A 20177-nucleotide genomic window follows, 5' to 3' on the forward strand; every position below is an offset into this window, starting at 1 on the left:
GTGGATGAAGAAGGCATATTGAACATCTCTGTCAGTAAATACTTTGGAGACTTCTGTCTCTCACTTACATTTTGCTGTAGCTTACAAAAGCATTTATTTGGATGATTCCTCAGCAAGCCCTGAACTCTCACCCATGATCCAATCCTTGGAAGCCACTCTCAAGAAAGATTTTCAATGGTTTCCTAACTGCCAGATTCACTCCCCTCATCAGGCCTGTCTTCACAAAAGCCACCGTTGTGGCCAGCTCCTCATTCTGGACATTTTTCTTTCCTGGTTTCTACAGGACCAGTCCCTCCTGGGTCCTCATCTATCATTCTTTTTTTTTTTTTTTGGGGGGACGGAGTCTTGCTCTGTCGCCCAATGGTACGATCTCTGCTCAATGGCAACCTCCGCCTCCCAGGTTCAAGCGATTCTCCTGCCTCAGCCTCCCAAGTAGCTGGGATTACAGGTGCCCACCACCATGCCCAGCTAATTTTTGTATTTTTTAGTAGAGGTGGGGGTTCACCATGTTGGCCAGGCTGGTCTCGAGCTCCTGACCTCAGGTGATCTGCCCGCTTCAGCCTCCTAAAGTGCTGGGATTATAGGCGTGAGCCACCGTGCCCGGCCTCACCTATCATCCTTATAGTTTTCTATCTATAGAGCAGGCATTTTCCTGTTTGTACTACATGTTCTACCTAGATGGTCAATGTCTACAGCTTCACCTCCATCTATAGTATGACAGCCCCCAAACCTGTACAGGATTTATAGTTCACCATCTCTCCCCTATCCTAGTTCTGCATCTTCAGCAGGATCTACTTGTTATCACCATAACAGGCTCAGGAAACTTCTTTCCCACAATCTATTCCTGCCACTTAAAAGGGTAGCCATCCATCCTATTACCTAACATTTAAATCAGACATCAACTCTTTGTGCTCCCTCATCCTCTACATTTAAACAACAGCCATGTACTCTTAATTCTATTTCTGAAGCTTCTCTTAAATCTTTTCTGGCTGGGCACGGTGACTCACCCCTGTAATCCCAGCACTTTGGGAGGCCAAGGCGGATGGATCACCTGAGATCAGGAGTTCAAGACCAACCCGGCCAACATGGTGAAACCCTATCTCTACTAAAAATACAAAAGTAAGCCGGGTGTGATGGCATGCACCTGTAATCCCAGCTAATTGGGAGAGGCTGAGACAGGAGAATCACTTGAACCTGGGAGGCGGAGGTTGCAGTAAGCTAAGATTGCACCACTGCACTCCAGCCTGCACGACAGAGCGAGACTCCGTCTCAAAAAAAAAAAAAAAAAAAATCTTTGCCTTCTTCATTACCACAGCTCTTGCTCTAGAAGATTCTCATTTCTCATCAGAACACCTTAAAATGCTTTCTAACACATTTTCCTGCCTCAGGTTTCTTTCCCCTCTCTTCTTCCCACAGTTTTGTTTCTGTAATAGAGATCTGATAAACTTCCAAGGTTCCCTGTGCCCACTGAAAAAGAAAGGTCACACTGCTTGGTGTGGCACATAAAGCCTTTCACAATTTGGTTTCGGTGTACTTTCCTAATCTCATTTTTCTGCCTCTTGTACCAGCCCAACCCTCTCTCCCCTCTCCTTCCCAGCTCCACACTCCCCCCTTTCCATGGGGTGAACTTTTCAAAAGTTCTCTTGTCTATATTTTCCTCCATGTCTTAAATTATTCCACCTGCCAAATGAACACTGTGTATAATAAATTCTCCCATCTTTAGAGGAAATACTTAAGAACCAATCAAAATATTCAACATTTCTTGAAAGAACTGTAATTACTATATAAGGTTTTATATAATTCTAGTTCAAAGCAAAGGAACTTCACTTTTTAATGTACCTTCTATTAAATATTTAATTTCCATTAGGTTATTTTAAAATACTGGCAGTCTCATGGATCCCCATTTTTATCTTTGCAGATCTGTAGGGGTCCTGGAGCCCTGGCTTAGGAACCACTGCTCTGTGCTCACTGTACAAACTCCCTGCTCTGTGCCCTTGCTCACACTATTCTGTTGCCTACACTGTCCTTGATATTTTTCTCATTCCGGGACTCAATAACTTGCCACTTCCATTCTTTTCACTCACACTACTTTTATGTCACTTATTATCCATTCGAGGATAGTTAATTCTTTAACACAATGATCTGTCAGGCTTGGAGCTTCCTACGGAAAAGACATTTATCTACTCTCAGGGCCTAGCAGTACCTGGGCCCCAGTAAAACTAAATAAATGTTTGTTGAATGAATAAACCTTGGTAGGACAAACATATTATCTACACAAAACAATCACCACCAAAAAGGCTGAGAAGATGGGAAAAGATGTGATTTACCTAAGGTTATGCACCAAATACAAAATTTTGAACAGGAGCAGAAATTCAGGTTTTTAACTCATTATTCTGTTAACTGTAAGTTTGCATAAGTGGCAACTACTATATTACTAAAACGTGCAGCTTTTTATTCCTCTCAGAAATCTCATAGATGTCGTTCATCCTGTAATTGCTCTGATTATGTCCTCAATCCAGGAGAAATGACTTTATGCCACAATGAATACGCAATAAAAAAAGAAAAACTGTGCTGACTTAAGTTACCCAGAACACCTGCCTATTTACAGTTAAGTTTATCAAATTCTGATAAGTGTATGCTAAATTTCTTCATAAAATCATTTTAAAGGAACTTTTATTTCCTGTGGAAGTTTCCGATGTGAAAGAAGACAAGCAGGTGATAGGAGAACATTGTATGGATTAAATAGTTTCTACATTAACAACTGCTTATTTTAAAATTTCAAATATCCTTTCTGGGGGTTGGGGAGAGGGCGTTATTTCACAAAACTATAAATGTGATTTGGTTGAACCTGTTTTTTTGGCGTAGCTGAGAATCCTTTGCCCAAACTTGTGCCCTCACTAAAGGAGGCATATGTTCTTGTTTAGAAACAAAGTAGTACTGATTAGACTATACTTCCTGGTCCTCACCTACTAAGTAAATCTTCAAGTCAAACCTCCTTTACTTAAACATATGACAAGACTAGCCATGCCCCAAATCATAACAAATATATCAAAAATTACCAACTATACTTTATAACTTTGGCATATCAGCTAGACCTTAAAGACATACAATCTAAGTTTTCAGTGGTACAGGTTTAACATAAGCGTAACAGATATCCTTTTCCTGTTACATTAAAACATTTTTGAAAGTACCTTTTCTACTTTATTCTATAATTTTTTTTTTTTTTTTTTGAGGCAGAGTCTCACTCTGTCACCCAGGCTGGAGTGCAGTGGCATGATCTTGGTTCACAGCAAACTCTGCATCCCGGGTTCAATTGATTATCCTGCCTCAGCCTCCTGAGTAGCTGGGACTACAGACGTGTGCCACCATGCCTGGCTAATTTTTGTATTTTTAGTAGAGACAGGGTTTCACAATGTTGGCCAGGCTGGTCTTGAACTCCTGACCTCAGGTGATCCGCCTGCCTTGGCCTCCCAAAGTGCTGTGATTACAGGCGTGAGCCACCACGCCCGGCCCTATGAAAGACTTTTAATCAAAATGGTCATTTACAAATAGAATGGAATTAAACACACAAATTTATCTCCTCCCCTCACATTTAGCTCTGCAACTTACAAGTTTTCTCCTTTGTATTTTAAAACAATTTGTAATAAAAATGTATAAGAAGTTCCCCTCTTACAAAAAAGGAGAAAAGCAAATGGAGTTATCAGGCAATGTTTAGGGAGTAAAGAGACACGCTGAAGCTACAGCTCACAGCAACTGATAAAGACAGGTCCTCTCTGCAATCTGGAAGATGCCTATGAATGCAGGGACCTGAGATCAGATAAAAAGCAATCTCCCATCCCTGTCCACATAGTCTAAGCACAGTCCTGGCATCAATTAAGCTAAAGACAATTGCAGACACAAAGGATAGTTCATTACTTGCCTGAAGTATATTTATTTTGGCTTATTACTTGCTTTGAAAGTTCTGTGTAAATTCTTCCTTAAAGGTGACTGTTAGTTAACTTTAAAAGTCTGGAGTTGGGTGAGTGAATAGGAATAGGACTATATGACTGAGCTTCCTTTCAACATGGTATTCTGATATGCTACTATTCAAGGGTCCTAGTAGTTAAAAAAACAAACAAAAAAATGATTATAAATCTGAAAGTCTGAGGAAGACTAGATTTCTGTACCTTTGTTTCACATCAGATCACTTTGTAAAACGACAGAGGAAAAAAAGAGAAATTATATCATCTTATATTTGCAAATATTTTCATGTTATCTCATTTAATAAAAAAATCAGTTTGCAGATGCACAAATTGAAGAAGCACCAGAGATTAATGTCAAATTTAGAAATACTTTTGTTAGAGAGGAATTAGAGCCAGAGGAAAAAGGAACATGTACTTTGCAAATTAGTGATAGTTAAGATAAAACTAGTTCTTTAGAACTTCTGAGATTGTCAGAATGTCTTCCCAACCCATCCCAAGAACCCCAAGTAACACTTTGCAATTTGCTATTTGTGTTGAAGTCAGAAGACTGGTAATTCACAAAATTACATAAACATATGTAAAATCTAACAGTGAGGTGATGAGACTTTCTTCCCAACTTTCTGCAATGACCATCCCACTTAAATATCAACTAATGTAATGTTTAGCAGAAGAACATGGACAACGAGATTGGTACCAGAAAAACAAGTTTATTTTAGCTAACTTTTAAAGAAAATAAATAGCTTATTCACTCATTCACATGCTTGATATGCAGAGTAAGCACTTAGAATGAAACTTGAAAATTCCATCAAGAGAAAAGTATCAATGAACTGGTGAATCTCGGATTGCTTCTTGAGTATCAAAAGACAACATGCAAAAATAAAGATAATTCCACACCTCCTCCTTTTTAAAAGTTTTGCCAGTACTGCAGTTCTTCACAGCTGTTCATAGTAAACGCTTGGTTAATTCAAATCTGTTCCCCTAATACTCCTTGAAACAAACAGAATTACCGGTCTATTATTACTGAACTAATTAATATTCTCTGGGTTTTTATCTTTTTTTAAGAGCATTTAGAAAAAACTTTTATAAACTGCGTATTTATCTCCTGTTGACTATCAACTTATTCAAGGTTTCTCAAACATTCCACACTATCTTAAGTCCACACTACAAGGCAGACCCCAAAACTGGGCTCTATCTCTTCCTAGGCAATTCTGTTTGGTGATCATGTATGCTCTTCAAGCCAAAATTCCTGTTTTCACTGCAATTTATGAGAAAGAAATGATCCTCCTGTTTGCTAAGTGGATCTTCTCTAACTACCTTCACCTCATCACCTGTTCCTTTCATTTTCCTTTTCTTTTTTTTTTTGAGACGGAGTTTCGCTCTTGTTGCCCAGGCTGGAGTGCAGTGTCACGATCTCAGCTCACTGCAACCTCCGCCTCCCAGGTTCAAGTGATTCTCCTGCCTCAGCCTCCCGAGTAGCTCGGATTACAGGCACCCGCCACCATGCCTGGCTAATTTTTTGTATTTTTAGTAGAGATGGGGTTTCATCATGTTGGCCAGGCCGGTCTCAAACTCCTGACCTCAGGTGATCCACCCGCCTTGGCCTCCCAAAGTGCTGGGATAACAGGCTGAGCCAATGCGCCCAGCCCCTTTCATTTTCATTCTATCTACACAGGCTCCCTCTTTTCAGTACATAAGTAAGTTCGGAGGTTCCTTCTCCTAAAAATTACCTCATCAGTGAGGAAAGGAGGGATTGGGGCAGAAGGGCCTGAATCTTTAACCTCTTGCAATTTGAGTATTGTCTCTGCTGCTTCATTTAAACTCTTTAAGTGTGCTCATCGCCAAATCTTTCTTCCCAGTCCTCCTCCTGTACCTCCAACCTAGCCAGCTGTATTTCTGTCTCCTTTGCTGGCTCATCTTCCTCCCTAAAATAAAAGGCATTTCCTGAGGTTTTCTCATGAGCTTTCCCTTTCCCACAGCTTCACCTATTCATATTTATGCTGCCTTCTCACTGGCTCTAGTCACTCATTTCCACCCGCCTACCTCCCTCTGGATGTCCTGCCTGCACCTCCGAGTCACATGTCCAACACCAAACCCCTTACCTTTTCTTCCCTGCTCCCTTAAACCTCTTTTGTCAACTTCTGGCCACGCAGTCTCAATCTCTGGACAAGGGTACCAAGAAAGGAAGAATGCATTCACTTGCCAGGAACCTAGATTTTGCATCAAATATCTCAACTCTGTCCCCTCTGTCCTATACCACTTTACACTAAACCTCTCATCTGAACTGCTATAACACTCTCCTTTTGGTATTCTTAACTCAAGTTTTCAGTACACACTATTGCTAGAGAAACATTCCTTAGGTGTAATTTTGATCAAGCCTGGCACTCAGGATACTCTACCCAACATTTCTCAAACTTTAACGTGCATGTGAATCACACGGTGATCTTGTTAAAATGCAGATACTCTCATTCAGGGAGTGTGGGGTGGTGCCCCACTCCGGAGTTTTAACATACTCCCAAGTGACAATGATGCTATTAGCATCAGACTATATGCATATACAGTCGGCTCTAACCTATTTTTTCTATCCTCATCTACTTCTCCCTGCCTAGCATACATATGTGCATGTCTATATCGCTTACGTACACACACACACACACACACACACACACACACACACACACACAGACATACACAGAGACAAAATGTTTTCCAAACATAATCTCCGGCCTCTGTGCCTCTTGCTGTTTCCTCAAGTCCAGTGACTTTCCATTACAATTTTACCCATTTTTCAGGAACCAACTCATTCTGCCACAACCTTCTCTTATCTTCTTACCTACCCTCACTCCCATACCTCACCTAGTAGAACACCACAAAAACCTTGGGACATCCCTGACACTGGCACTGTTTCTAGTCTGTAATGTTGTTATAGGTCTTCTCGTTTCATCCGTACTGTTAGACTGCACACTCTCCTGGAAGGCAGGAACTACCTGCCTAACCTCTGCCACCCAGGGCATCCTTGGGCTCTTGTTAACCAGTAAGTACCTGTTGAAGTGGATTTGAATTCTAAGAAAAAGAAAACGTCTCAACTCTACTTCATGTAATTCATTTTGAGCAGGAGCTTCAGAAATTTATGATAAACAAAAACACTCTTCCAGGAAAACTGACTCATTAGCAAACCTAAGAAAACTTTGTTTTATATATATATATTTACAAATGTTTATATATTCAAATGGTGCCTAGAGAATTTTAGTACTTATCCTATTTATAGTAGTCTCCAGATATATAGATCAAAGTTCTAATATTAATTTAAAATTAAATCTAACTTGTTACGATCTAGTAATGACTATAAGTCTAAAATATGTTCCAATCCAGAGCCCAGCCTTCCCTAGTTTAATTTACTTAATGCTCCCTTTAGCACTCCATTTATAAAATGGGACATCACTTTCTCCACGGGTGTGATAAGATTGGCTGTCCCCCAAATTTACTGTTAACATGCCTTACATTGTGTCTAGACTTTGAAAAGTGCTTTAAAACAATCACCTTGAAGTAACATTTTTTGAATGCTGAGAAACTCAAAGAAAACCCTATATTAAATGTTTATACAGTAAACCCCTTATTCAAGAACCTAACCATGGCTCTTAGGTTCAAGAACCAATATTCAAGAATCTGACTATAGCTCTTAAACTTTAGCGTGCAAGAATTATCCGGCGTGCTTGTTAAACACGCAGATGCCAGGCTCTTACCCAGGGAATGTCTCATTCAGTAAAACTGGGGTAGGGCCTAGAAAACTGTAGATTTCACCAGCAACCCCAGGTGATTCGGATGCAGGTGTTCCGCAGATCTCAATTAGACACTGATCTCAATCCTTGTCCGGGGGCACTACAGAGTTGTGTTTGAAAGAAAATGCAGACGTCTTTTGCTAAAGTCCTTTCTCAAAACAGCTGTCACGCCAGCACAGACAGGAGGTGATGTGCGTAAGGAAAAAGAGGGAAAGGTTCCTTGGAAGAGAATCAATGCCCGAAAACAATGAAAGAGGGGAAGTGGCGTTTCTTTGCAACCCTGGAATTCCATTCTCCCGCACCTGCGAGGATGCTGCTCTGACCCGTCGGCCAGCACCAGGCCCTCGGGAGCCGAGCCCAGGCAGGTCGCTGGCCGGGGGATGGGAGGGCGTCGTGGCCCCGCGCTCGTCCCCAGGTCGCCAGCTGCCCTCCGCAGCCGAGGGAAGACGCCCGCCCGGGTCCCGGATCTCCGCCCCCCTACACCGCATCCTCCGCGGCTCGCGCGCGTAAACAAGTTGCCTCCCCCGGGTCGGCAGCCCCTCACCTGCCGCGCGGTCGCAACTCTGTCTCATCGTCTGGTTCCGGACCCCGAGGCTCCTGCTCTCCCGCGGCTGCCGGCAGCGCCTCAGCGTCCTCCACAGTCACCTCGGCCGCAGCCACGGCGCCCGCCGCCGGTACTCGCGTCGCTGAGGTGGGAGCAGCGGCCGCCCCGAGGCCGAACGCCGCCTCCGCCGTCGGCGCTGGGAGGCCACGGGCGCGCCCCGCGGCCACCGTCCTTGCCGCGAGCCCCAGCAGCAGCAGCAGCAGCAGCAGCGCCCGTACCAGCAGCCCCGGGCTGATGGCGCGCTCCATCAGCGTCCCGCCCCGCGCGCAGGCATGGAGGCGCAGCCACTGACGCCTGCCTCTCCCGCCGCTTGGAGCTCCCAAGAAGGCAAGGACGTGCTAGGGACCCTACTGCCGCCCCGACGGCCTGGACAGCCAGCCGTGTTCCCCTGGCCACGTCTCAGCCCGGCCTCTGCCGCTGCCACCTGAGTGACAGCCTATCTCGGACATCGCCCATTGAGCAAACTTTCCGCGCGTTTGCTCTCTCATTGGCTGCGGCCGCTGCCACTCCATGTTCCCAGGCTGGCCTTGTTGGGGAAGGTGGACTTTCCCTGGTGGTCAACATCGCACCTACCAATCAAATCGTAATTTCGTCGTTCGAGGCCCGTCCCTCTTCCGGACGCAATTACCAATGAGAAATGCCCTTCCCCGACGTCTTTTTACCTGATTGGTGCGCTCATCAGTTCCCGGAATACCTTTCCTACAACAGATTGGCCATCGCGGTGGTTGGCCTCGCCCCACAAAGCGAGGCGCTGGAGAAGACTTGAAGATCATTGGTGGAAGTGGATGTCCCTCAAAGGTCTGCGCTAACTGCCTCTTGATTGGTTGGAAGCGGCACTTACTACGTGGCGGATTCTGACTGTGAAGAGGACTGTCCCAAGTGAAGAGTGGGAGGCAAGTGCCTTGTGACCGGGAGGAGGTCGACCTTAAAGGAGCTGGTATTGTAGCTCTTCTAAAGCCTAGTCTACTTAGGAAGGCAAAAGCGAAGCAGCAAGAAGTGGCCACAGAAGCCGTGTGGTCCCTAGAAGTAGAAGGGTAAGGAGGATGCAGGAGATGGTCCTACTTGTGGCCGCAACGGGGCTCAGAAGTCCGCTTGTTAGAGATGGCAGTGACCTGTGACAATCCAGTCTGCCCGACACGCCTCCCGCCTCCTTAGGAACGGGAAGGAGCCCCGGCCCAGTGCACTGACGTAGTTAGCCTAAGATCACGTAGCTGGTTGGTCACAGAATCATGACTTTAATTCATGTCTTCTGACTCTGACCTGGCACGCTTTGTACCTCACCAAAGACAGTGATGAAATTGCAAAAGGGCAGAGTGGAGAAGACTGGAATGTTCAGCCAAGGCATTTGAACTTTTAATGCTGCAAGTCAAGACTTCCTGAAGATTTTTGAGCAGATGAGTGAAGTGATAAGAAAATGCATCTTCAGCAGTGACAGCATCAACGAGGAGGAGACTGGCCGGGAGGCTATTACCCGCATCAAAACCAGTGAACATTAAAAAAAATTTTTTTTTTAGAGAGAGGGTCTTGCTCTTTTGCCCAGGCTGGAGTGCAGTGGCTTGACCATAGTTCTCTATAACCTTGAATTCCTGCGTTCAAGCGATCTTCCTTCCTCAGCTTCCGGAGTAGCTGGGACTACAGATGCGTGCCACCATGCCAGGCCAATTTTTAATTTTGTTTTGTAAAGATGGGGTTTCTGTGTTGCCCAGGTTGGTCTCAAATTCCTGGCCTCAAGCCATCCTCCCGCCTCAGCCTCCCAAAGTGCTGCAATTTACGGGCATTAGCCACCGCACCTGGTCCAAAACCGGTGAAGATTTGTTAAGGTGTTGGCAATATGGGTATACCTAGATTATCCTTCATCTGCTAAAAACATGCTCTAATCTCTCCCCAGCCCAAAACAAACAAGAAACCTCTCTTCCCCTTCCAGCTCCTACCACGTGTCTTTGCTCCTCTGTATGGCAAAACTCAAGTGTTCAAAATTCCTTATCTTCAATTCCTCTTCTCCCATTCCCAAGTACACTACAGTCAGGCATTCACACCACCAAAACTGCTCTCGCTGAGGCCACCAGTGCTGTATTCAAAGGATAATCTTTGTTTTATCAGCTGTATTTGATCCAGCAACTCAAGTTTTTCCTGTCTAGAACACCTTTCACCGGTCTTCTTGCTTCTCCATAGTGCTGGTCGTAACCCTCAAAAGGTCCCCCAGTTCACTCAGGATAAAAGTCAAGTCCTTAAAATAGACTACAGGGTGCTACAGCATCTGGTTCCTATGGCTTTTCTGATCTCATTTCATACTGTCTTTGCTCACTCCACTGGGCCAATCAAGACCCACCTGGGGGGTTTTCCTTTGTTGTTTTGCCTGCCTAGGAAACTTCCCAGGTATATGAGTTTGCTAGAGTTGCCCTAACAAATACCACAGACCAGGTGGCCTGAACAAAACTAGTTTATTTTCTCGAAGTTCTGGAGGCTAGAAGTCCAAGATCAAGGTGGGATTCTGAGGCCTCTCTCCTTGGCTTGCCGATGACAGCCCTCTTACTTCCTCTTCCCTCTGATGTCTCTTCCTATTCTTCTAACACCAGTCAGATTGGAGTGTGGGGCTACCTTTAACAGCCTCATTTTAACTTAATCACTGCTTTAAAGATCTTATCTCCAAATACAGTATAGTTATATTCTGAAGCACTAAAGGTTGGGACTTCAACATGTAAATTTTGGAGGGACACAATTTAGCACATAATACCCAGGTACCCACAAGATATGTTCCCTCACTTTATTTGAGGCTTTGCTAATCCCAGTGAAGTCCCTCCTCACTACCTTATTTAAAATTAAAACCTCCACCACCTTCCTTCCTTTATTTCTCTCCTGCTTTATTTCTGCTTAGCCGATACATACATTACAAATATGTAAATACTGTAATTTACATATTTGTTTTGTTTATTGTCTGCTGTGTTTCCTTCCACTTGCATGTAAATTCTGTGAAGATTTGCTCATTGATGTATTCGAAGACATAAAACAGTGCAAAGTGTTTAGCAAGCATTTAATAAATGTTTGTTGAATGAATGAATGAATGAATGAATACCTGAGGACAGAAGGAAAGAGACAACTGGAAAGGAAGAGACTGCAGTTGCTGTAGACAGAGGGGGTTGATTACGAGAGCAAGATTCCAGAGTATCTGGAGGAAAAGGGGCAGCTCTGCCTTCCATGTTGAAAGTAGAGCGTAGGAGGTATTCCTAGAGAGTAAGTTATTTTGAAAAGTAGAGAAAATAGATGAGCGAACTCAAACCAATTGACCATTATCTACTCAACAAAATAGGAGATAAAATTGCCCACCTAAAAGGGATTATACTAGTTGGTATGAGGAAGGTGTCAGAAAATTAACATAAGATGAAAAATGATTGTTAACTACCTGTTTGAAATTAGTGTATATATTTTAGTGGGCCTGGTCTTCATGGTTTTGTAATTTTTTCAAAAAATGATCATGGCATGAACAAGGCTATTAATCTGAACTAATGAATTAGGAGTCTACTTGCCACCTGTAAATACTGTGGAAGTTTTATTTATTCATTTAACATTCAGGGATTCCACATGACCACCTGCAAATAATGAGAATAAAGATATGAACAAAATAGATGTGGTTCCCGCCCTTCTGAAGGTTAACACCTATCTAGTTAGGGAGACAGACATTAACAATCACACATATATTATTAAAACTGAGATAAGTGCTATGATGAAAAAGGCGCGGGCAGAAGAGCACAGTGGTGGAAAATGCCAGTAAGGAGAGTCAAGCTTTATACTTGGGAACAAAACACAAATTTTCCATTTTGGAAAAAAAGCCTGAGTCGAAGTGTGCTGACTGGGAAAATAAATTAAGGAGAGAAAAGAGAGTCTACCTGCTTTAGGACAGCATGGAGCTTCACAGTGACTTTGTGGGAACTCTGGAACCTGGGTGCCTCAGGGAAATGTAAGAAAGTGGGGACCGGGCATGAGAGCTGGCCCGTGAGGCTGGGCCAGGAAAAGAAGCTGGTGCTCAGGTACCCTGAGCCAGGGTTGCCCAAAACAACCAAGATTCTACAACTGAGTGTGGCCCAAAAAATCAGCAAAATAGGTCTGAGATTTAGAAACAGTGAGTTCAATCCCTTAACAGAGAGAGACTGCATCTGTTGAAATGATATTTGATTGTGAATAACAAAAACGTTGCCATATAGTGGGTGAAGCAAGAAGTGGGTTTTTTTTTTTTACTGACACCACAGCTCTACAGTGATGTTTTATTTAAACTTATGCTCCTTCTGTTTCTCCATGCTTCATGGGTGACTTTGTTCCTTTTGCCTGTCGTCTCACTGTTTTGGGATGGCAACTCCAGTATCATTTCTTTATTATAGGTAGGACAAAGAGGAATGACAAAAGGCATGTAACCACCTGAATTTGCCCCTATCAAAGAGCTCTCCAGGAAGCACCACCAAGGAATTTTCACTGACATTTCCCAGGCCAGACCATGCTGCTGCTAAGCAAAATGAGGATTCTGCTAGTGAGGATGAAAGGAAGAATGTGTAATCAGTTTTCTTGAAGTATAATACATGTACAATAAACTGAACCTATTGGAAATATACATTTGGATGAGTTTTGACAGATGTATATACCACAGTCAAGATACAGAACATTCCCATCACTCCAAGAGATTCTTTGTGTCCCTTTGTGGTCAATCCCTCCTACACGAGGCCCCTAGGTAACCGCTGATCTGTTTTCCATCACAATAGATTAGTCTGCATATTCTAGCATCTTTAATAAATGCAGTCATACAGTATGTACTTTTGTGTCTTACTTTTTTCACTCCATATAATGTTTTTAAATTTATTCATGTTGTTGAATGTAGCAATACTTAGTTCCTTTTTACTGCTGAGTAGTACTCTGCTTTATATGTTCCATGTTTCTTTATCCATTTACTTGTTGGAGTACATTTGGTATATTTTCAATTTTTGGCGATTACACATAAAGCTACTATGAGAACATTTATGTACGTACAGGTCTTTTTGTAGATGTAGGTTTTTATTTCTCTTGGGTAAATACCTAGATGTGGAATAACTCGCTCATATAGTAGATGGATGTTTAACTTTATAAGAATCTGCCAAGCATTTTCACAAAGTGATGTACCATTTTATACCCCCACCAGTGGTGCACGAGAGTTCAAGTTGTTCTATATCCTCACCAACATTTGGTAATTGTCTTTTTAATTCTAACTATTCTAGTAGGTATGTGATGCCATTTCATTGTAGCTTTGGTTTGCATATCCCTGACGACTAGTGATTTTGAACATCTTTTAATGTGCTTGTTGGACATTATATATCATCTTTTGTAAAATGTCTATTAAAAGTGTTTATAAAGAGAGAAATGTTTATGGGTAGGCACTCTTGAAGAGTTTGCCACACAGTGAAATTTGTTGTGTTGTACCAGTTAGCTATTGGCATAGCAATGCTGTGTAAGCAACCATCCCAAAATTCAGTGGCTTTAAACAGCAAAAATGTATACTCTGACACCCTTCACCTGGAGTTGCCTGATCTAGCTAGAGCACGATTTTCTTATGGCAATGGAAGAAACACAATTAAGATGGGTGGAAACTTACATGGCCTCTTAAAACTAGTATCAGAACTGGAGCACTTATTATTGGAGCAGGATGGACTAAAGCAAGGCATATGACTAGGCCTAACATCAAAGAGGCAGGACAACATGCCCTGCCTCTAGTGAAAGAAACTGCAAAGTCATGTGACAGAGGGCATGGAACTAAAATGTAATTGTAGCAAGGAATTAGCTCATCAATGTTTCTTAAAGTGTGGCCCTGGACTGACTTCATCAGAAGTTCAAGGAATGGGGTCCAGGAATCTGCAGATTTTCCTTTTTTTTTTTTTTTTTTTTGAGATGGAGTTTCGCTCTTGTTGCCCCGGCTGGAGTGCAATGGTGCAATCTTGGCTCACTGCAACTTCCATCTCCCGGGTTCAAGCTATTCCCCTGCCTCAGCCTCCTGAGTAGCTGGGATTACAGGAAGGCGCCATCATACCCGGCTAATTTTGTATTTTTAGTAGAGACAGTTTCTCCACGTTGGTCAGGCTGGTCTCGAACTCCCAACCTTAGGTGATCCACCCACCTCAGCCTCCCAGAGTGCTGGGATTACAGGCGTGAGCCACTGCGCCCGGCCTAAATCTGCAGTTTTAACAAACACCCTAGGAGATTCTACCACAAGTACTATAAGAGTAATCAGTTATATCTGTTCCTGAACCTAGCATGAACAATTGCTCCACAATGGCTTCACAATCGCTCATGCTAGGTTCAGGAACAGATATAACTGATTGTACATAATGAGATACTACTCCATATATATTAGAATAGCTATTTTTAAAAATACAATATCAAGTGCTGGCAAGAATATATGAGCAATTCCTCACACATTGCTGGTCTGAAGGTAAAATGGTACAACTATCTTGGAAACAGCTTGGCAATTTCTATTACAGTTAAACATACACTTACCATATGACATGGTTTGGCTCTGTGTCCCCACCCAAATCTCATTTCAAATTGTAATCCCCACATATTGAGAGAAGGACCTGTTGGGAGGCGATTAAATCATGGGGATGATCCCCCCATGCTGTTCTTGTGATAGTGATCACAAGAGCTGATGATTTTAAAGTGTGGCACTTCCTTGTGCTTTCTCTCTCCTGCCACCTTGTGAAGAAGGTGTTTGCTTCTCATTTGACTTCCACCATGAATGTAAGTCTCCCGAGGCCTCCCCAGCAATGTGGGACTGTGAGTCAATTAAACCTCTTTCCTTTATCAATTACCTATCTCAGGTAGTATTTTTTTATTTTTATTTTTTTGAGACAGAGTCTCGCCTTATCTCCCAGGTTGGAGTTGCAGTGGCATGATCTCGGCTAACTGCAACCTCCACCTCCCAGGTTCAAGTGATTCTCTTGCCTCAGCCTCCCAAGTAGCTGGGATTATAGATGTGTGCCACCACACTCAGCTAATTTTTGTATTTGTAGTAGAGATGGGGTTTCGCCATGTTGGCCAGGCTGGTGTTGAACTCCTGACCTCAAGTGATGCACCCGCCTTGGCCTCCCAAAGTGCTGGGATTACAGATGTGAGCCACTGTGCCCTGCCCTCAGGTAGTATCTTTGCAGGAGTGTGAAAACGGACTAATACACCATATGACTCAACAATCCCACTCCTAAGTTTTTACTTAAGAGATAAAAACGTATATTTGTAAAAAGGCCTGTAGGCAAATGTTTATAGAAGCTTTTTTACATAATTGCTCCAAACTGGAAATGTCATAATGTCTCTCCACTAGTTAACGGGTAAACAAATTATAGTGCATTCATATGCTGGAATACTACTCAGCAGTAAAAAGGGACAACCTACTGATGATATGAATGACAAGGGTGCATTTCAAAAGTGTTGAACCAAGTAAAAGAAGCCAGATACAGAATATTATATACTTTATGATTCCATGTATTGACATCTGCAAAAGATAAAACCATAGTGACAAAGGAGATGAGATTGACTAACGAAGGACACAAGGAACCTTTCTTAGGTGACGGAAAGATCCCAAATCTTATTGGTGGTGGTGGTGATGTCAGTATATAAGTTTGTCAAACTTATAGAAGTGTATACGTAAGAAGGGTGAATTTTACTGTATATAAATCATATATTAATAGACCTGACTTAAACAAAAAGCAATACAGATTTTTCTCCTCCACTTTGCCCCAAAAAAGGCAGAAGGATGTGAAAACAGATTTTGTTTGTTTAAAAACTGAAATTTCAAAGATTTTAACCAATGAAGTGACAAGACAAACACAAAAAATTAAATGTAGCTTGCTTTGATGTGACATACGACACATCAATAAGGAGTTTTGGGGTGCACTTTAAGCACTAGAAGTTGTTTGAATAACAAGGATGGAAAGAGGAATTCAGGAGGTTCTGCTTAAAAAATGCAGAGCACATAGCAACACGCCTGGTCTTCTGGTGGCTATTTCAACATTTAAAAGGACAATTATAGTTGGATCATGTGTAAAATGGGCCTGAAATATCCAAATTCCTACATGAAAGACAAGGGGTTGTTGTAACCATAGCAAGGAAGCAGCTTATCGATGTTTCTTAAAGTGTGGCCCTGGACTGACTTAATCAAAAGTTCAGGGAATGGGGTCCAGGAATCTGCAGTTTTAACAAACACTCTAGGAGACTCTTACGTATACTAAAAGTGGAGGAACATGGCACTTTGGACTTAATATGTTTGATAAATTGTGGATTTTGTGAAATTCATAATTTTTCTATATGCCTATAATTTATTTACATGTGCATAGTTTATATCAGTAATTCTTTACATTGAAGTGCTACTTGAGAGTCCATTATCACTCCCAGCAATCCCCCACCAATTCAGAGGCCTTTAATTTCTCCTTTACGATGTACTAGAAAATTCTTCCTGGCCATAGCAAACTCATCTCAGATGTTTGCAACTTGACTGTGGGTCATGACCACTTCACTGTAGTCACTGCACAGAACTCCTAGACACAGCCCCTAAGTAGGAGGCTGCTCTTCACCCACAGCTTCCAACCAAACTTTATTTTCTATACCCACCACACAAGACTGCATGTGCAGATCAAACTTTGCTGAAAGGATGGGCTAATTAAAGCAGGAACTCCCAAAATTAATGCTGCCCTTGGGGGTCCCCTCGCATGCATGCTTCTATTCCTAACCCGGCTTTCTGTCCTCTATTCTTCTGTCTTGGATACATTTACTTTCACTTCTTTTCACCTTCTTACCCACAGAAATTGGTCTCAGCCCAGGACTCACTGCCTCCCCCATTGTATTTGTCAGCTATTGTCACAATAATCTTTATAACAAACTACCCTAAAACTTTAACAATAATTTGTAATACTATTTGTTTAACAATAGTAATGTATTCATCTTCATAAGTCTGCATGTCATTTGGGGCTTGGCTCCAAACTAAGCTGGACCCAGGTCTACTCCACTGGTCTCTCATCCTCCTTGGAAGAATGGTCTACCTGGAGCATGTTCTTCTCATGGCAATAATAGAAATACAAGAGGGCAAGGCCTGCCACACATATGTATTTCAAGTCTCTGCCTTCCTATGTCTATGAAAAGCTCTGTAGCCAAAGTATGTCACATGGCCAAGTTCAAAGTGCAGGGATTGGAAAGCACACTCCACATACCATGAGGTCACAGCTAGAGTGTGGATGTGTATGCTGCCACAGGGGAGAGAAGCATTGTGACCATACATTCAGTCAGCCATACCCGTCATGAGTATTTCTCTCCTGTCTGAGTAACTAAGTCTAGAGAAATGCCTTGGTGCTTCACAAGGACAGTAATTGATAATTATAAACCCTTGAATTTATATAGTCTGGTCCAGTCCTGGGCCAATATGGATGATCCATTCTGTTCCTTTTGGTGAGTGCTCCAAAAGGGGGATTTGCAAGCATGTATGCATAAATGCAGAAACAAATGCTAACACATGTGCCTGTGCACACTTATATACATGAGCATGTGTACATGTGAACTCTTAAGTACAAACAAGAGGATTTTCCTAACTGCTTTATAAATTGCAAAGAATTCTATTTCATAATGATTTCAGGACTTCACATTGTACTGAGAAATATCAGTGCCTTTTCTTCAAACTTGCCTCTTCCTTCTTCATAACCAAACTCCAGGAGCCAGATCTCTGGACCTCTAAATAGCAAATTCTCTTAAATGCACAAAGCCCCTTGCAAAGCTTTGAAAATGCCGCTGTAAAATTCTTACCCAAAGTCTTCATTACTTTCATTTTCTGTCTAGGGGGAAGAGAGGGAGTAATTTTATTTTTCCAGTTGTTTGTAATTCTTCAAATTCAGGAAGAAATAGAGGCAATGTAGAGCATAGCACTGACCCTGGAACTGCCAAGTAACTCGCCGTGTGCTCTGAAAGAATCTGCTTCTCCTCTCTAAGTCTCACAGTGTTTTAGGTGGCATCTTGGACCAGGCACTGCCTTGGTTACTTATACCAGGGACTCTCAGCGGCCATTTGTACCGGGTGGACTCTGAAGTCAGTTTCTTCCAGTGTTCTCAATGGGCACTTACACCAAGGGCTGTCTTTAGTCACTTCATTTCCATTTTCTATAATGTTCTGCCTCTTTTCTCTGTAGAGAATGTTTACACAATTTTATAATCAGAACAATCTAAACAACCAGGTGGCAATAGTAAGCACAAATGCGAAGTATCACTTTGTATCACTAACAATAGATGAAATTATTTCATATGGTGGACATCAGCATATTCCTAATGGTCAGCAAGTATAGAATAAGATTTCAAATTTCTTATGTTTTTATTTGGATGATTTTTAAAAAATATAATGTAATTATAGGATAGTCTGGCTAAACCCTTTTGGCATTTCAGGGCCAAAACTTGCATTTGTGTCTATCAAACCAGCACCAAGTAATGCTATCTTAATTGTTACAGGCAACTGAGAAAAAGTAAGATGCATATTTTATATAAATGATTCATTGCTACCAAATAAATGTCAAATGACTGGTATCCTCTAAAAGCAAGTGTTACACAGTGGTTCAAATAAAGAAAAGTCGTGGGAGAATTTAGTCCTCACATAGAATGTAGTTTTGTCAGTGGGCCAGATTGAAAACAACCTGTCTTAGCTGTCACTATGGTATTTGTTTTCAGAGTAGTGCTGTAGTTTCATTAAATTATCATCTGTTGGGCATCAGCTACCAGTACTGACATGGTCGCTGGTTTTAGACCACATATCTCACTGAGATTGACTGTTAAGTTAGATTAAAAAAAAAATCTTTGAAGGTATCAGAAAGCAACCACAGCATCCAAGACCTGAGGGGCTAAGAATGAGAAAGAAACAAAAAGCAATTAGATCAGGGTAATACTCCCTACCATTTTCTCTCTTGAGACATTTAATGAATTATAAGCAAAAAGTGCAGGGTCTAGGGCCATGCAGGAAGGTGCAGCTTAGAGAGCTTTTAGGAGTCTTATAAGGCCACAGAGACAAAATGTGGAGTTCAGGGCTAGCAAGAAAACCAGCATTAAAAGGTTAAAGATCCCATAGAAAAGCGAATGGCTGAAAAGTGAGACTGATAGTTTTTTTTCCCCCCATTAAGGCAGTTGCTGGTTCCTAAGTCATTCAAATAAGAGAGATTAAAAAACAAAAAAACAAACAAAAACTACGTAGTGAGAGACAGGTAAGAAGCTAAAAAGTGAAAGTCTCATTGTGCTGAGGAGTCAAAAATTGGAGGTCAGTCTAGCAAAGAGTTGAAGCTTTGAAAAATACCTCCACACTTTCAGCTGAGACTTCTGACAGACTGCAGATAGGAGTAAGGGCAAAGCAGAAATAAACTAGCCTCAAAAAACCTAAAACCCAGCCTCAAAGTATCAAATTACCTAATTGGATTAGGGTGATCTGCCCCTACTCTGTCTGCCAGAAGAAAATTAAATTGTCTTTGAAGAAGGAAAACATCACACAGAGCTTCTATAATTTTTCATATACAATGTCTAGCATCTGAGTAAAAATCTCTAGGTAATGTCAATAAATAGAACCAAGTGACAGAAAATAAAAAGTAAAAAACAGAAACAGATTAGACTTAGAGAAGATTGAGATATTGGTGTTATCAGACACAGGCTATAAAATAATTGTGGTTATTTTATAATCATCCTTAAAAAAGGATAATCATCCTTAAAAAAGATGACAAAATGGAGAATTTCATCAAAGACCTGCAATCTATTCGAATCTATCAGAAACTTTTAGAACTTAGAGATAAATTAATTGACATACAAATGATTCATAAGC

General features: G+C 41.9%; 1 protein-coding gene and 1 long non-coding RNA gene across 5 annotated transcripts in view, besides 7 other annotated features; one reads left to right on the plus strand and one right to left on the minus strand.

Annotated features, from left to right (window-relative positions):
- The window catches only part of EIF2AK3 (eukaryotic translation initiation factor 2 alpha kinase 3), a 71405-nt gene extending 61944 nt beyond the window's left edge, over window positions 1-9461 (minus strand). For 2 of the 4 annotated variants that reach the window (NM_004836.7, XM_047446430.1), the window contains exon 1: window positions 8283-8780. In NM_004836.7, coding sequence (NP_004827.4) covers window positions 8283-8590 — 308 coding nt within the window. In that variant the 5' untranslated portion in view covers window positions 8591-8780. Of the gene's footprint in view, window positions 1-6061; window positions 6246-8282; window positions 8781-9004 lie in introns of those variants that run through there. The other 2 variants (XM_047446428.1, NM_001313915.2) reach the window with 2 other exon arrangements.
- Window positions 7875-8554: an enhancer, noted in NCBI's record as "H3K27ac hESC enhancer chr2:88926077-88926756 (GRCh37/hg19 assembly coordinates)". NCBI's record gives its function as "activates a minimal SCP1, AML or CMV promoter by ChIP-STARR-seq in primed H9 embryonic stem cells {active_cell/tissue: H9 hESC(primed)}" and the evidence as "EXISTENCE:reporter gene assay evidence [ECO:0000049][PMID:30033119]".
- Window positions 8196-8275: a silencer, noted in NCBI's record as "silent region_11731". NCBI's record gives its function as "represses an Ori minimal core promoter by ATAC-STARR-seq in GM12878 lymphoblastoid cells {active_cell/tissue: GM12878}" and the evidence as "EXISTENCE:reporter gene assay evidence [ECO:0000049][PMID:35858748]".
- Window positions 8376-8535: a silencer, noted in NCBI's record as "silent region_11732". NCBI's record gives its function as "represses an Ori minimal core promoter by ATAC-STARR-seq in GM12878 lymphoblastoid cells {active_cell/tissue: GM12878}" and the evidence as "EXISTENCE:reporter gene assay evidence [ECO:0000049][PMID:35858748]".
- Window positions 8555-9234: an enhancer, noted in NCBI's record as "NANOG-H3K27ac hESC enhancer chr2:88926757-88927436 (GRCh37/hg19 assembly coordinates)". NCBI's record gives its function as "activates a minimal SCP1, AML or CMV promoter by ChIP-STARR-seq in naive H9 embryonic stem cells {active_cell/tissue: H9 hESC(naive)}" and the evidence as "EXISTENCE:reporter gene assay evidence [ECO:0000049][PMID:30033119]".
- Window positions 8596-8855: an enhancer, noted in NCBI's record as "active region_16170". NCBI's record gives its function as "activates an Ori minimal core promoter by ATAC-STARR-seq in GM12878 lymphoblastoid cells {active_cell/tissue: GM12878}" and the evidence as "EXISTENCE:reporter gene assay evidence [ECO:0000049][PMID:35858748]".
- Window positions 9145-13141, plus strand: EIF2AK3-DT (EIF2AK3 divergent transcript). Its single transcript, NR_135540.1, has 2 exons — window positions 9145-10048; window positions 12716-13141. It is a non-coding gene; the product is annotated as an EIF2AK3 divergent transcript (long non-coding RNA).
- Window positions 9235-9914: an enhancer, noted in NCBI's record as "NANOG-H3K27ac hESC enhancer chr2:88927437-88928116 (GRCh37/hg19 assembly coordinates)". NCBI's record gives its function as "activates a minimal SCP1, AML or CMV promoter by ChIP-STARR-seq in naive H9 embryonic stem cells {active_cell/tissue: H9 hESC(naive)}" and the evidence as "EXISTENCE:reporter gene assay evidence [ECO:0000049][PMID:30033119]".
- Window positions 9676-9805: an enhancer, noted in NCBI's record as "active region_16171". NCBI's record gives its function as "activates an Ori minimal core promoter by ATAC-STARR-seq in GM12878 lymphoblastoid cells {active_cell/tissue: GM12878}" and the evidence as "EXISTENCE:reporter gene assay evidence [ECO:0000049][PMID:35858748]".

The sequence above is a fragment of the Homo sapiens genome, chromosome 2 (genome assembly GCF_000001405.40).
Source record: "Homo sapiens chromosome 2, GRCh38.p14 Primary Assembly".
NCBI classification, from domain to species: Eukaryota; Metazoa; Chordata; class Mammalia; order Primates; family Hominidae; genus Homo; species Homo sapiens.